This window comes from Homo sapiens, chromosome 22 (genome assembly GCF_000001405.40).
Source record: "Homo sapiens chromosome 22, GRCh38.p14 Primary Assembly".
NCBI classification, from domain to species: domain Eukaryota; kingdom Metazoa; phylum Chordata; class Mammalia; order Primates; family Hominidae; genus Homo; species Homo sapiens.
This window is the reverse complement of record NC_000022.11, coordinates 20,907,942-20,924,059: the sequence shown is the minus strand read 5'-3', so window position 1 is coordinate 20,924,059 and position 16,118 is coordinate 20,907,942. Positions and strand designations below refer to the sequence as shown.

Here is a 16,118-nt window from a genome sequence, read left to right as displayed (position 1 = left end):
GCATGACACCATGCTCAGCTAATTTTTTAATTTTTTGTGGGAATGGGGTCTCACTATCTTGCCAGGGCTGGTCTCAAACTCCTGGGATCTAGCGATCCTCCTGCCTTAACCTCCCGAAGTGCTGGGATTACAGGCACGAGCCACCGAGCACAGCCAACCTTTACATTTTTTTTTTTTTTAGTAGCCAGGCGCGGTGACTTACGCCTGTAATCCCAGCACTTTGGGAGGCCGAGGCGAGCAGATCCCCTGAGGTCAAGAGACAGAAAACCATCCTGCTCAACATGGTGAAACCCCATCTCTACTAAAAATACACAAATTAGCCAGGTGTGGTAGCGCGTGCGCCTGTAGTCCCAGCTACTTGGGAGGCTGAGGCAGGAGAATCACTTGAACCTAGGAGGTGGAGGTTGCAGTGAGCCAAGATTGCACCACCACACTCCAGCCTGGCAACAGAGCAAGACTCTGTCTCAAAAAAAAAAAAAAAAATGCCAGGCGCGGTGGCTCATAACTGTAATCCCAGCACTTTGGGAGGCCCAGGCGGGCGGTTCACGAGGTCAGGAGATCGAGACCATCCTGGCTAACACGGTGAAACCCCGTCTCTACTAAAAATACAAAAAGTTACCCGGGCATGGTGGCGGGCACCTGTAGTCCCAGCTAACTCAAGAGGCTGAGGCAGGAGAATGGCGTGAACCCAGGAGGCGGAGCTTGCAGTGAGCCAAGATCCCGCCACTGCACTCCAGCCTGGGCGACAGAACAAGACTCCGTCTCAAAAAAAAAAAAATTTTTTTTTTAGTAACCAGTAAGCTCCTCAGAAGCATGATAGGGCTGTCTGATTCAATGTTGGTTCCATATTACCAGGTACATGTAATGCTCAAAGTCTGCTGAGTACAGTACATTATTTTCTTGAAGGGCCAACTTCCTTTAGTTTTTAATGGTAAAATTTTATTTATTCTAATTTTTCTTCATAGCCTGAATTTATCTATCGACACAAGCTAGAAATGGAAAATGTCAAACAAAGCAAGCTACCTTCTGAAGCATTCTGTTGTTAAACTGGAAACAGCCCTTATTAAATAAAAATACACTAGAGCTAGGCCAGGCGCAGTGGCTCACACCTGTAATCCCAGCACTTTGGGAGGCCCAGGCAGGTGGATCACTTGAGGTCAAGAGTTCAAGACCAGCCTGGCCAACATGGTGAAACCCTGTCTCTACCAAAAATACAAAAATTAGCCAGGTGTGGCAGTGCATGCCTGTAATCCCAGCTACTAGGGAGGCTGAGGCAGGAGAATCTTAAACCCCAGAGGCGGAGGTGGCAGTGAGCCCAGATTATGCCACTTCACTACAGCCTGGGGGACAGAGGGAGACTTGGTCTCAAAAAAATAAATAAAATAAAATCCACCATAGGAATACCACAAATACAAAAAGCAGTTAAAGATAAAAACACAGAAGATAACAAAGTTACAAATAGACCAAATCATCCCTTCTTCCCTTTCCCTTCATCCCCACCCACCAGCAAATCAATTTTATCTCCAAAATAGGCATCTCCAAGTCACAGCTCCACTGTCACTATTAGTCACCATCATTTTGTAGCTGGATTACAATAACAGCCCCAGGTCACTCCTCTGCCTCAAATTCCTTCCTTGGAGCCCACAGCACTTTAAATAAAAACCCAATTCCTGACCCTGATCTTTATCTCCAAACTCATTTTATATGTCCCCCTTTCTCCTTTAAGAAACACACTCCCAGGCCGGAGAGGGTGGCTCACATCTGTAATCCCAGCACTTTGGGAGGCTGAGGCAGGTGGATCATGAGGTCAAGATATAGGGACCATCCTGGCCAACATGGTGAAACCTTGTCTCTACTAAAAATACAAAAATTAGCCGGACATGGTGGCGGGTGCCTGTAGTCCCATGCAGTCCCAGCTACTCAGGAGGCTGAGGTAGGAGAATCACTTGAACCTGGGAGGCAGAGGTTGCAGTGAGCCGAGATTGGGCCACTGCACTCTAGCCTGGCCACAGAGTGAGACGTCATCTACCAAAAAAAAAAAAAAAAAAAAAAAGCCGGGCGCAGTGGCTCACACTTGTAATTCCAGCACTTTGGGAGGCCGAGGCGGGCGGATCACTAGGTTAGGAGATCGAGACTATCCTGGCTAACATGGTGAAACCCCGTCTCCACTAAAAATACAAAAAATTTGCCCGGCATGGTTGCAGGCGCCTGTAGTCCCAGCTACTCGGGAGGCTGAGGCAGGAGAATGGTGTGAACCCAGGAGGCGGAGCTTGCAGTGAGCCGAGATCGCACACTCCAGCCTGGGCGACAGAGCAAGACTCCGTCTCAAGAAAAAAAAAAAGAAAAAAGAAAGAAAGAAAAGAAACACACTCCCAACACAATGGACTTTCTCACCTCAGGACATCTACATAAGCTTTTCCCTAAACTTGGAAGGCTCTTCTCCTCCTCTCAGGCCAAGCCTTGCCTAGGCTGGGTTCTTCTTTACCCTCAGGTCTTAGCTTCATGCTTTCTCTGACCACGCCACCCCAGGTAGGTCCCTCCTGTATATTGATCTTACTAGTACTTTATTTTTCTACTTTTCAGTCTGTCTTCTCCACTACAGTAGGAGTTCCACAGGAAGAAAGTATGTCTGTCACACATCTTTCCCAGTACCTACACTGGGTTACACTGGGTTATAATTCTCTTATAAACATTTGAATAAAAATATAAAATTAAAAATTATGAAGCATTCTAATGAAAAGGATAAGACTATAACAATGCAAGCCACCAGTCCTTAAATTTCGAGTAGGACATTATTGTTACAAATTTTAGCTATGCAAGATAAACCAAAATATTAGCCAAGAGGCATGAAACTCTGGCTTTAAAAGCTCAGTTTTGATGCCTGCAAAGTTAAGCCACTAAATGTACCCTGTTTGGGATGCGAAGAAGCATTACACTGAGTTTTCCGTTTGGCCCAGGCTCTAGTAGTCACTAGCTTTCTATAAAAGGCTAATAACATGTTAAACCTAAGCCATGAAAACCAGGCTTGGGAGTGGCAATTCGAAGATTCAGTATAACAAAGTAAACTCAGTCAGGATCTAATTCAACCAGCATGGTGATCTCCTTCAGAGATACCTAGGAAAATGAAAAACTAAATTAAAGCAACAGGCCTGAGGCAGAGGGCACAGAGAAGGAGAAACAAAGCTGAACGTGAGGGGTAGGGTCAGAGAAAGGCCCTATAATCTGTGAGGGGACTGGAACAACAGGTAGGATTTCAACAGATGGAGAGTGAGGTGTAGTTAAGGCAGTCAGTGAAGAGCCAACAGCTGGAGCAAAGGTGCAAAGGTACAAAGGTATGAGTAAGGAAGGATGGCTACCAGGGAATAAGTGAGCAGCCTAGTACAGCTGCAGTAAAGGAAGGACGAAAGAGGGCAAAGACAGAATTACATGCTTGTTCTCTAAGAAGATGCATGCATGTACGGAAAATCTGGAGGCGATTCTGTGGATAGAGAGAAGCGGCATACTTCTTTTCCTTCCTCTAGAAGGAGACTCAAGTCATTAACTTTTTCCTTTTTTTTTTTTGAGACAGAGTCTCACTCTGTCACCCGGGCTGTGCAGTGGCGCGATCTCGGCTCACTGCAACCTCCGCCTCCCGGGTTCGAGCGATTCTCCTGCCTCAGCCTCCCGAGTAGCTGGGATTACAGGCACCCACCACTACGCCCAGCTAATTTTTTGTATTTTTAGCAGAGACGGGGTTTCACCATGTTGGCCAAGATGGTCTTGAACTCCTGACCTCGTGATTCGCCCGGCTTGGCTTCCCAAAGTGCTGGGATTACTGGCGTGAGCTACCACACCCGCCCATTAACTTGCTTTTTGAAACAGCTGTATTATTAGTACTCATGACCTCAACATAAGCATATGCATGGCTTAATGAATGCCTGGTATTAATTATATAATTCACGCTCACAAACGAGAGGAAGAATTTATTCAGTCATATTACAAATCTCACTACAGTGGGTTCTAAGATTCTCAACTCCTTAAATTGGAATTATATTGTGCTCAAAGTTGACTGCAACTACCAGCATCTGCCAGGAACCGCAGGTTTCACCAATCAGATTCTTGGTGTCCTGGTCTTTGTTATACAGTATTTGATTTATAATCACTTTCTCCCCACTTTTAAAGTCCATTTAGTTCAGTAGTTAATCTTGTAGTCATTATACTGTCATGGCTTTTTTTTTTCTATCTCTATCCCACTATGCAAACAGTTGGTGTCCTCAATTATAATAGCTTTTAATGTTTAAAGTTTAGAGTAATACCCGGTCGACAAATCCATAAAGTCATAAACATCTAACCCTGGAAAAACTGTATCAACACCCAGTCCTTTTAAAATAGATGTTTAAGAAACGAACTGGCCAGTTTGTTACTTTAAAAATTCTAGGCAACTTTTCAACTCAAATTTGGGATAATTTAAATAAAAGAAACCTCTGATAAAATCAGTGTTACAGGGCAAACACAACAATAAAAGCAAATCTCTGCTAAAACGCTTAAGGCAAATTAAAGCAACTAATCAATTAAAATAACGTATTTCACTTGGAAAAGAGAATGCTTGGTCACTTTGCGTTAATTTTAAAATAAGAAATACAAAATCATTAGACTTAACACAAAAAGCATGTCTGAAATTGAACTAGGATACAACTAAGTGTCATTCAAAAATTTTCCTTAATAACATTCTAGCCTAATTCCACCTTGGAAATTAACCAGACTGATCTCTGGCCTACTAATGGTCCTCGGGGAGAAAATATGCAATAAATTTTCCAAAAAATATCCTCGCTGAAGCCAATGCACCTTCTCTTATCTTTGTAATTAACGTACTATAAAAGTGGTGGTGTCTGGCCTGCTTCAAACTTGGCACCACAGTATCAATATACAGTTCTGATATTTTGGTTAAAGGTTTTTTTGTTTCTAAACGCTAAAGCATTTTCATTTTTTTGACTGTTCCAAAGGCTGCAGTCCTGGAGTTCTTAACCTGGAGTTCAGAGATCTGGAGGGAGTACAAGCACCCGGGATGGTGTGCAAACTTGTGTGTACGTGCCTTTGGCGGGGAGGGGTGGGGGTGGGGGTGGGGGTGGGGTGGTGAGTGCTCGGCTATCTTCAGATTCTCAAAGAAGTCTATGGCTTAAAAACGGTTTTTGGCCGGGTGTGGTGGCTCACGCCTGTAATCCCAGCATTTTGGGAGACCGAGGCAGGCGGATCACGAGGGCAAGAGATCGAGACCATCCAGGCCAACATGGTGAAACACCGTCTCTACTAAAAATACAAAAATTAGCTGGGTGTGGTGGCGTGAGCCAGTAGTCCCAGCTACTCGGGAGGCTAAGGCAGGAGAATCGCTTGAACCCGGGAGGCGGAGGTTGCAGTGAGCCGAGATCGCACCACTGCACTCCAGCCTGGCGACACAGCGAGACTCCGTCTCAAAAAAAAAAAAAAAAAAGAGGTTTTTAGAAAAACCAACAAATCCCTGCATCAGTATTACACCCAGAGAAAGTCACGAAAGGCAAAAAGCGTGCATTTTAACTATGCAACCACCGTTAAACATTCAAAACGCATCCTCTTCACATTGAGAAACAGCCTCGTGAGAGGGAAAAAAAAAAAACGCATCCTCTTATCCAGTGACCCAGATCCTGACACTAGCTTTCTGTTAGGAAGGCCTTCTGGAAAATAATTTGGTTCAGAATGCGGGGAATATGGGTTCAAGCGCGCCCCACCCCCCTATACAAGCACTCTTCGACAGACCCGGTTCTCGACCTTCCTCCGCGGTCGGGGAGGGCTCTCGCGTACCTGGGCGCAGGCTCGATGAGGGTGGTGGTGTCCAGGTAGTGGATCTTGTAAAACTCCAGCAGGGCCGGCAAATGGTCAAATTCCTGGTCCCCGATCTTAAAACGGCGGTTGGGCAGCGAGTTGATGATGTAGTGGGAGACCCGCGAGTTCTCGGACACCGACAGCACATAGTCCCCAGGGCAGGTGGAAGAATCGCGGACGAGGAACATACCGTGGCGCTGGCCCTGGAGCCGGGTCTGCGCCTCCTGGCGAGACACCGGCCCCATATACCAGGCGGAGCGGTCCGAGGAGTCGAACCTGGCGGAGGACATGGTGTTGGACCGGGGACTCTGCGGCGGTAGGGGCGGCGGCTGTCCTCGCCTGCTCTGCACGCCTTAGCCCGGCAGACGGCTTTGGGGCCGAGGAAGGGCCTCTCGCACACCTCGAGGAGCGCTCAGAGGGCTGGGCCAGCACTTTCCTCTCGGCTCCGGGCCCGCAGCATCCTCCGACGCCGCCCGCCTGCTCCGGGGCCGCCACACGGAGAGAGCCGCCCGGGAATGCACGGCAGAGCCGGGGGGTCGGGGCAGGCAAACCCGAGCCGCAGCGGAGGCCACCCCGGGGTTCTCGGGCTGCTCGGCGTCCCAGGGGTGCCTCCAGTGACTCCCGGCCTGGAACGCGCCGGCGCCGCAGCTCGACGGGTCTTCACCGACCCCCGCCGTCACACGAGGCACCGAACTCGAAGGAGCGTCGCGCCTCCGGGGTGCTTTTGCCCAGCTTGTTCCCAATAGCCACAGCAACAAAATGGCGGACGCGGGAGAAGCGGCAGCCACCTCCCCCTCCGCTCAGCGCGCTCCGTCTGCGCACGCGCTGGGCCCCGGCTCCCGGCGGCCGCCGGGGCCCTCCCGTTACGTCACACAGCGCAGCCAATCAGGAGCACCGTCGCGACGATCAGGGTGGGCGCTGGTCGCGCCCGCTCCCGCGTTCCAGGAGGAGGCTGAAGAGGCGCCGGCGGTAGGCACTCTCTTCCTGGGCCGCTGCGCGCCGCTGGGGGCGCTGCGGCTGCCGGGTCTCCCAGCGCTGGCAGGAAAACAGCTGGAGCCGAGAGGGAACCGCGTTTCGAAAACCTGCTTCTGGGAACAAAGCGTAACGTGCAGGCTGAATCGCGGGCCAGGGAGGCGTGGCACTGAGGCGACCTGGCCAGCCTAGGGGCCTGAGGGAGGTCAAGGACTGACAGGTCCCGATGGGCCGAGGTGGCCCAGTAAAAGGATGAGCCCAGGGGCAGATGTGACCACCAGATAGGTGACTGACTGAATGACTCAGTCCCCAGGTGGCCTGATAGGCTAAGGAAGCCCTAGTGGCTACGTGACCCGCTAAATGGAGTGAGAGGAGAGAGAAGGTGAGGGTTAGATTGACTCAATTAAGTGGTCAAGGAAGTCCACAAGTGGGTAACCTGGCTATCATGGGCTCTGAACTGCTGAAAGTAAAATACAAATGCCTCTCGGGCGTGGCCCCGAGGCTTCCCCTGCCCCGGATTATGCCTGCTTCTGCCTATTTATTAATCCCTATTTGTTTTTGTTTGTTTTCTTTCTTTCTTTCTTTCTTTCTTTCTTTCTTTCTTTCTTTCTTTCTTTTCTTTTTTCTTTTCTTTTCTTTCTCTCTCTCTCTCTCTTCCTTTCCTTTCCCTTTCCCTTTCCTTTCCCTTTCCCTTTCCTTTCCTTCTTTCGACGGAGTCTCGCTCTGTCACCAGGTTGGAGTGCAGGGGCGCGATCTCGGCTCACTGCAACCTCCGCCTCCCGGGTTCAAGCGATTCTCCTGCCTCAGCCTCCCGAGTAGCTGGGATTACAGCTGTCCGCCGCCATGCCCTGCTAATTTTTGTATTTTTAGTAGAAACGGGGTTTCACCATGTTGGCCAGGCTGGTCTCAAACTCCTGACCTCAGGTGATCTGCCTGCCTCAGCTTCCCAAAGTGCTAGGATTACAGGCGTGAGCCACCGTGCCCAGCCTGTTTGTTTTATTTTGTTTGTTTTTGAGACAGGTTCTCCTTCTGTCACCCAGGCTGGAGTGCAGTGGAACTATCATGGCTCACTGCAGCCTTGATTTCCCCATCTCAAGGGATCCTCCCACCTCAGCCTTCCGAGTAGTTGGGACTACAGGCTCGCGCTGCCATGCCCAGCTAATTTTTTTGATTTTTTTTTTTTTTTTTTTTTTTTTGAGACGGAGTCTCGCTCTGTCGCCCAGGCTGGAGTGCAGTGGCGGGATCTCGGCTCACTGCAAGCTCCGCCTCCCGGGTTCACGCCATTCTCCTGCCTCAGCCTCCCAAGTAGCTGGGACTACAGGCGCCCGCCACTACGCCCGGCTAATTTTTTGTATTTTTAGTAGAGACGGGGTTTCACCGTTTTAGCCGGGATGGTCTCGATCTCCTGACCTCGTGATCCGCCCGCCTCGGCCTCCCAAAGTGCTGGGATTACAGGCGTGAGCCACCGCGCCCGGCCTTTGATTTTTAATAGAGACGAAATCTCACCATGTTGCCCAGGCTCGTCTCAGACTTTTGAGCTCAAACAATCCTCCCCCTCAGCCAAGATGTGAGCCACCCCGCCCAGCTATGTATGAAACAAGTTAATATATGCAAAGTGCTTAGAATAGTACCTGGCACATAGTAAGCATCATATGAGTCTTCCATTATTATTATTCAGTCATTCCCTGGGCCTCTACCTCTATACCCTAAAACCCTGAGCATACACCCTCAGTGGGTGGGTGAGGGTGGAGAGAAAAATCTCCACTTTGTTTTCTAACTACTTTTCACTGTCAGATTTACCACTTCATAATCACCTGCTCCTTGCCCAGCCCTTTTTTTTTTTTTTTATTCTGATACGGACTCTAGCTCTGTAGCCCAGGCTGGAGGAGTGCAGTGGCGTGATCTCAGCTCACTGCAACCTCTGCCTCCCAGGTCCAGGTTCAAGCAATTCTCCTGCCTCAGCCTGCCAAGTAGGTGGGATTGATTACAGGCATGCACCACCATGCCCAGCTAATTTTTGTATTTTTAGTAGAGACAGGGTTTCACCATGTTCGCCAGGCTGGTCTTGAACTCCTGACCTCATGATCCTCCTGCCTCAGCCTCCCAAAGTGCTGGGATTACAGGCGTGAGCCACCGCCTGTAATCCTAGTGGTGATTTTTTAATTTTTAAATTTTTTGTAGAGATGAGGTCTCACTGTATTGCCCAAGCTGATCTGGAACTGCTGGGCTCAGGTAATCCTCCCAGCTTGGCCTCCCAAAGTGTTGGGATTACAGACGTGAGCCACCCACCCAGCTGCTCAACCTTCTTAATCTGGCTTCTACCCATGCTTTGACTGAATTAGGCTTTTTGGGTTTTGTTTTGTTTTTAAAGACATGTCTCTCTGTTGCTGACTCTCGTCTCAAATTCCTAGGCTCAAGTAGTCCTCCTGCCTCAGCCTCCAAAGTAGCTAGGATTACAGATGTGAGCCACAGCAACCCGCTCTCTGCCCTCTAAATGCAGAGCGTCCTTCACCTCTCCATAGTTTTTCCTTTAGTAGGCTAATAATCAGCATGAAGCATTTAGGGGTCACATCTCTGGTGACTCCAAACACATATTCTAAAAGCAGAACCAAAACTGACCATACTCTCTGATTACTATGTATACACTGTGGGCACAGCCTAAATTAATTTTTATCACATTCTATTGTAATTGTTCATAAATATTTTTCTCATCCCAATCTGAGCATCTTGAGGGCAGCCTGCTATATATTATTTTTTCTATTCCCAGTACCTAGCACATAATACATACTTTTTTTTTTTTTTGAGATGGGGTCTCATTCTGCTGCCCAGGCTGGAGTGTAGTGGTGCAATCTCGGCTCACTGCAACCTCTGCCTTCTGGATTCAAGTGATTCTCCTGCTTCAGCCTCCTGAGTAGTTGGGATTACAGGCACGCGCCACCATGCCTGACTAATTTTTGTATTTTTAGTAGAGATAGGGTTTCACCATGTTAGCCAGGCTGGTCTCGAACTCCTGACCTCATAATCTGCCCGCCTTGGCCTCCCAAAGTGCTCGGATTACAGGTGTGAGCCACCACGCCCAGCCGATACATACTTAATGTATGGTTTTTGAATGTAGATGGATAAAGATGGGAGGAAGCCAGAGAAAAATGATAATTGAACATTAGCTGCTGGCTCACTCCCTTTTCAGCAGCCCTCTTTGCCTCAGCCCTCTTTGCCTCATCTTTTCAGGGTGTACTATCTGTCTATATAAACTATCTGCTCTTGGCCAGGTGCAGTGGCTCACACCTGTAATCCCAGCATTTTGGGAAGGTGAAGCAGGTGGATCCTTTGAGGCCAGGAGTTAGAGACCAGCCTGGACAACATTGCAAAACCCCATCTCTATTTTAAAAAAAGTAAAAACATTCTTTTTTTCGAGACAGAGTCTCACTCTGTTGCTCAGGCTAGAGTGCAGTGGCGTGATCTCGGCTCACTGCAACCTCCGCCTCCCTGGTTCAAGTGATTCTTCCTGCCTCAGCCTCCTGAGTAGCTGGGACTACAGGCGCATGCCACAACACCTGGCTAATTTTTGTATTTTTTAGTAGAGACCAGGTTTCAACATATTGGCCAGGCTGGTCTTGAACTCCTGACCTCGCAACCCGCCCACCTTGGCCTCCCAAAGTGCTGGGATTACAGGAGTGAGCCACGGCACCCAGTCAATGTAAAAACATTGTAAAAATAAACTCTCTGCTCTCTATTTTCCTTAAATAAACTCTCTTTTTAGAAAAAAGTAAAGTCCGGGCACAGTGGTTCACACCTGTAATCCCAGCACTTTGCAAGGCTGAGGTGGGCAGATCACTTGAGGTGAGGAGTTCAAGACCAGTCTGGCCAACATAGTGAAACCCTGTCTCTACTAAAAATACCAAAATTAGCTGAGCATGGTGGCGCTCACCTGTAGTCCCAGCTACTTAGGAGGCTGAGACAGGAGAATAGCTTGAACCTGGGAGGCGGAGGTTGCAGTGAGCCAAGATTGTGCCACTACCCTCCAGCCTGGGAGACAGAGTGAGACACCATCTCAAAAAAAAAAAAAAAAAAAGAACCAAATATCTCTCATTTTGCTTCTAAATACTCCAGAGGGGAATAAGGTGTGGGTTAGATAAAAGTGAAACAAGAATGGCCATGTGAGATTGATAATTATTGAAACCAGGTGACATGATGCGAGGGTAGGGTTAATTATATTCTATAATACTTTTATGTATGTTTGGAATTTGTCATAATAAAATTTTTGTAAAAGATACTTTCCTTTATTTTTCCTTAGCACAGTTGAGACAAGCATAAAATAAACTTTCCAGGCTGGGCATGTTGGCTCATGCCTGTAATCCCAGCACTTTGGGAGGCCAAGGTGGGTAGATCACTTGAGCCCAGGTGTTCAAGTCCCAGCTACTCAGGAGGCTGAGGTTGGGGGATCATCTGAGCCCAGGAGGTCGAGGCTGCAGTAAGCCTTGATTGTGCCACTGCACCTCAGCCTAGGCAACAGAGCAAGACCCTGTCAAAAACATTCCAAAAAAAGTTACTAAATGCTGAGATAGCAAAACAGCAATGAGTAGAGAAACAGAAAGAAACCATTAAAAAAGCTGTAATAGGCCGGGCGCAGTGGCTCATGCCTGTAATCCCAGCACTTTTGGAGGCCGAGGTGGGTGGATCACGATGTAAGGAGATCAAGACTATCCTGGCTAACATGGTGAAAACCCATCTCTACTAAAAATACAAAAAATTAGCCGGGCATGGTGGCAGGCGCCTGTAGTCCCCGCTACTCGGGAGGCTGAGGCAGGAGAATGGCGTGAACCCGGGAGGCGGAGCTTGCAGTGAGCCGAGATTGCACCACTGCACTCCAGCCTGGGCGATAGAGCCAGACTCCGTCTCAAAAAAAAAAAAAAAAAAGCTGTAACATATAGATTTTGATTCTTCCTTAGCTTGCATATTCCCAGGGTTTCTAGATGGTATTATACTTAAACTCTTGTCTTCTAAAATAATTACAATCGCCAGACCAGCTGCGGTGGCTCATGCCTGTAATCCCAACACTTTGGGAGGCCGAGATAGGCAGATCAGCTGAGGTCAGGAGTTCAAGACCAGCCTGGCCAACATGGTGAAACCCCGTCTCTACTAAAGACCAGGCATGGTGGCACATGCCTGTAGTCCCAGCTACTGGGAAGGCTGAGGCAGGAGAATCGCTTGAGCCCAGGAGGTGGAGGTTGCAGTGAGCCGAGATCGCACCAATGCACTCCAGCCTTGGTGACAGAGTGAGACTCCGTATCAAAAAATAATAGCTACAGTTGCCACGTGTGGTGGCTCATGCCTGTAAACACAACACTTTGGAAGTCTGAGTCAGGAGGAGTGCTTGAGCCTAGGAGGTTGAAGCTGCAGTGAGCCCCAGATCATGCCACTGTATTCTAGCCTGGGTGACACAGTGAGACTGTGTCTCAAAAAAAAAAAAAAAAAGGGCTGGGTGTGGTGGCTCACACCTGTAATCCCAGCACTTTGGGAGGCCAAGGCAGGCAGCTCACCTGAGGTCAGGAGTTTGAGACCAGCGTGGTGAAACCCCATCTCTACTAAAAATAGAAAAATTAGCGAGGCATGGTGGCGTGCGCCTGTAGTCCCAGCTACTCAGGGGGCTGAGGCAGGAGAATCACTTGAACCTGGGAGGCAGAGGTTGCAGTGAACTGAGATTGCGCCACTGCACGCCAGCCTGGGTGACTGAGAGAGACTCTGTCTCAAAAATATATATATATTTTTATCATGGATTAGTTTCAGATGAATAATGTCATAAATAACCATAGGCTCTAAACACCTTATATTTTCCAGGGCTTTATAAATTTGCTCAACTAAGCCTTTTTCTGCTTCATACATGATTACCACCATCACTTGTTACCCATTTTAGCAGATTCCACTTTGGGTTATACTGAATTATTGTTTTCTCAACTTAAAAAGAATACGTATATATATAATGCACACACACACACACACATATATATGTAAAAACTCTGCAAGGCAGGCATTTGGTGCTGGGCTCTTACCTGTTCACTTGCCATTACTGAGGGAATCCTGGTTAGTTTCTTTTCCTCTGCTGACTAATATGCTTAAATTCAGCTGGTCATCACGTCTGGTCTGAGTTCAAGTCTTTTATTTATTTATTTTGTTATTGTTTGTTTGTTTTTTTGAGATGGAGTCTCGCTCTGTCGCCCAGGCTAGAGTGCAATGGCATGATCTCGGCTCACTGCAACCTCTGCCTCCTGGGTTCAAGTGATTTTCCTGCCTCAGCCTCCTGAGTAGCTGGGATTACAGGCGCGCGCCAACATGCATGGCTAATTTTTGTATTTTTGTAGACACTGGGTTTCACCATGTTGGGCAGGCTGGTCTTGAACTCCTGACCTCAGGTGATCCGCCTGCCTCGGCCTCCCAAAGTGCTGGGATTACAGGTGTGAGCCACCACACCCGGCCTATTTATTTATTTTTGAGACAGAGTCTCACTCTGTCACCCAGGCTGGAGTGCAGTGGCATGATCTTGGCTCAGTGCAACCTCTGCCTCCCAGGCTCAAGCGACTCTCATGCCTCAGCTTCCCGAGCAGCTGGAATGACAGGTGTGTGCCAACACGTCTGGCTAATTTTTGCATTTGTAGTAGAGACAGCGTTTCACCCTGTTGGCCAGGCTGGTCTCGAACTCCCGACCTCAGGTGATCTGCCTGCGTCAGCCTCCAAAAGTGCTGGATTACAGGCATGAGCCACTGTGCCTGGCAGAGGTTAAGTCTATTAGAGATGAGGGCCCACTGTGTTGCCCAGGCTGGTCTCGAATTCCTGGGCTCAAGCAGTCTGCTGTCCTTGGCCTCCCAAAGTGTTAGGATTACAAGCATGAGCCACCATACCCGGCCAACTTTTCAGAATATTGCCTATAGTTATTCCATGCACACTATTCAAGAGAAATGTATTTGTCAGTGATTTTATATTCAGCATTGGCACCTCAAATAAACAACAATTGAGCACTAATGGTAACATCTATCAAGTCGTTGATAATCAAGGAAAATCATTCAAAATCATTTTTCTTTGGACACTTTTCTTCTGCTACGACAAACACAATTTAATGAACTCACCGCCAGTAAGCAGCTTTCTTTGGCTAACACATAAGCCCCTTGGAAACTTACTTTTGCAGTTTCATTTTCATTTTTTCTTTTCTTTTTTTTTTTTGAAACAGGGTTTCACTCTGGCACCCAAGTTGGAGTGCAGTGGCATGATCACAGCTCACTGCAGCCTCTACCTCCAGGGCTCAAGTGATTCTCCCACCTCAGCCTCCCAAGTAGCTGGTACTATAGGCATGTGCCACCACACCTGCCTAATTAAAAAATTTTTTTTTGTACAGGCAGGGTCTTGCTATGTTGCCCAGTCTGGTCTCAAACTCCTGGGCTCAAGTGATCCTCCCACCTTGGCCTCCCAAAGTGTTGGGATTATAAGCATGAGCTACCACACCCAGCCTCATTTTTCATTTTTGTGCAGAAATTCTGATAAGATGTTCCATTTGAAATTTTCCTATTTTTTTTCTTTATTTCTTTCTTTTTTTTTTTTTTTCCTTTTTCTGAGACGGGTTTTGCTTTGTCACCCAGGCTGGAGTGCGGTGGCATGATCACAGCTCACTGCAGCCACGACTTCCTGGGCTGAGGCAGTCTTCCCACCTCAGCTTCCCAAGCAGCTGGGAGCACAGGCACATGCCACCACTCCTGGCCAATTTTTTTTTTTTTTTGGTAGTGATGAGGTCTTGCTGTGTTACCCAGGATGGTCTCAAATTCCTGGGCTCAAGCAGTTCTCCTGCCTCAGCCTCCCAAAGTGTTGGGATTACAGGCATGAGCCACAGCACCTAGCCAAAATTTTCCAATTTTTCTGACTGTTGCTTTCCTATAAATTGGTAATACTGTGATGACTGCTTAGTCTAAGTTAACATACATTTTATTCTTTTAGCACAGATACGGTGTCACTGCATAATAAACACAATACTTCGCAATTGTATGCTTTTTTTTTTTTTGAGACAGTTTTACTCTTGTCACCCAGGCTGGAGTGCAGTGGTGCAATCTCGGCTTACTGCAACCTCCGTCTCCCGGGTTCAAGTGATTCTTCTGCCTCAGCCTCCCAAGTAGCTGGGATTACAGGTGTGAGCCACTGCGCCCCCGACCTTGCAATTGTATACAGTAACAAAATAATCTACACTTTGCCTTGAAAGTGTGACATCCAAAGTCTACTTTTCTGGCCTGGTGTGGTGGCTCATGCCTGTAATCGCAGCACTTTGGGAGGCTGGGGCAGGAGGATCACTTGAGGTCAGGAGTTTGAGACCAGCCTGGGCAACATAGCAAGACCCCATTTCCACAAAAAATTTTTAAAAATTAGCTGTGCATAGTGGCCCCAGCTACTCAGGAGGCTGAGGTAGGAGAATTGCTTGAGCCCAGGAGGTCAAGGCTGCAGTTAGCTGTGATTAAACACCACGGCACTCCAGCTTGGGCATTGAGACAGCGAGACCCTGTCTCAAAAAAAGAAAATTATACTTTTCTTCTTTTGATACAAGAACGTGCATTGGCAATTTTTTTTTTTTTTTTTTTTGAGAAGGAGTCTTGCTCTGTCGCCAGGCTGGAGTGCAGTGGCATGATCTCGGCTCACGGCAACCTCCGCCTCCCAGGTTCAAGTGATTCCTCTACCTCGGCCTCCTGAGTAGCTGGGACTACAGGCACCCACCACCACACCTGGCTAATTTTTGTATTTTTAGTAGAGATGGGGTTTCACCATGTTGATCAGGCTGGTCTCGAACTCCTGACCTTGTGATCTGCCCACCTCAGCCTCCCAAAGTGCTGGGATTACAGGCGTGTGCCACCACGCCTGGCCAAAATACTGCTGAATTATAATTGCAGCACTCCAACTTGTAGTGCACTGAGCAGCAGCACAAAGGGATGAGAGTGCCAGGTACGTGTCTGCCACAACTACTCAACTCTGCCATTGTAGTGGGAAAGCAGCCACACTGTATGTGACTTTGTCCCAATAGGTTTAGGTACAGCTATATTCCAGGAAAACTTTATTTATGGGCCCTGAAATTTGAATTTCACATAATCTTCATGTATCATGAGATATTCTTTTGATTTTCCCCCCAACCGTTTAAAGATGTAAAAACCACTCTTGACTGGGTGCGGTGGCTCACGCCCAACACTTTGGGAGGCTGAGGTGGGTGGATCACCTGAGGTGAGACCAGCTTGATCAACATGGAGAAACCCTGTCTCTACTAAAAATACAAAAGTAGCCAGGCGTGG

At 48.0% G+C, this 16,118-nt stretch overlaps 1 protein-coding gene across 2 annotated transcripts in view, besides 3 other annotated features; it reads right to left on the bottom strand.

Annotated features, from left to right (window-relative positions):
* CRKL (CRK like proto-oncogene, adaptor protein) overlaps nt 1-6,653 on the bottom strand; it is a 36,341-nt gene extending 29,688 nt beyond the window's left edge. For both annotated transcript variants that reach the window (NR_156180.2, NM_005207.4), the window contains exon 1: nt 5,815-6,653. Coding sequence is in view for 1 of the 2 variants with exons in the window: in NM_005207.4 (NP_005198.1) it covers nt 5,815-6,125 (311 nt within the window). In the remaining variant the exon portion in view is untranslated. The remainder of the gene's footprint in view (nt 1-5,814) is intronic.
* Nucleotides 5,937-5,996: an enhancer, noted in NCBI's record as "active region_18689". NCBI's record gives its function as "activates an Ori minimal core promoter by ATAC-STARR-seq in GM12878 lymphoblastoid cells {active_cell/tissue: GM12878}" and the evidence as "EXISTENCE:reporter gene assay evidence [ECO:0000049][PMID:35858748]".
* Nucleotides 6,287-6,736: a silencer, noted in NCBI's record as "silent region_13502". NCBI's record gives its function as "represses an Ori minimal core promoter by ATAC-STARR-seq in GM12878 lymphoblastoid cells {active_cell/tissue: GM12878}" and the evidence as "EXISTENCE:reporter gene assay evidence [ECO:0000049][PMID:35858748]".
* Nucleotides 13,906-14,085: an enhancer, noted in NCBI's record as "active region_18688". NCBI's record gives its function as "activates an Ori minimal core promoter by ATAC-STARR-seq in GM12878 lymphoblastoid cells {active_cell/tissue: GM12878}" and the evidence as "EXISTENCE:reporter gene assay evidence [ECO:0000049][PMID:35858748]".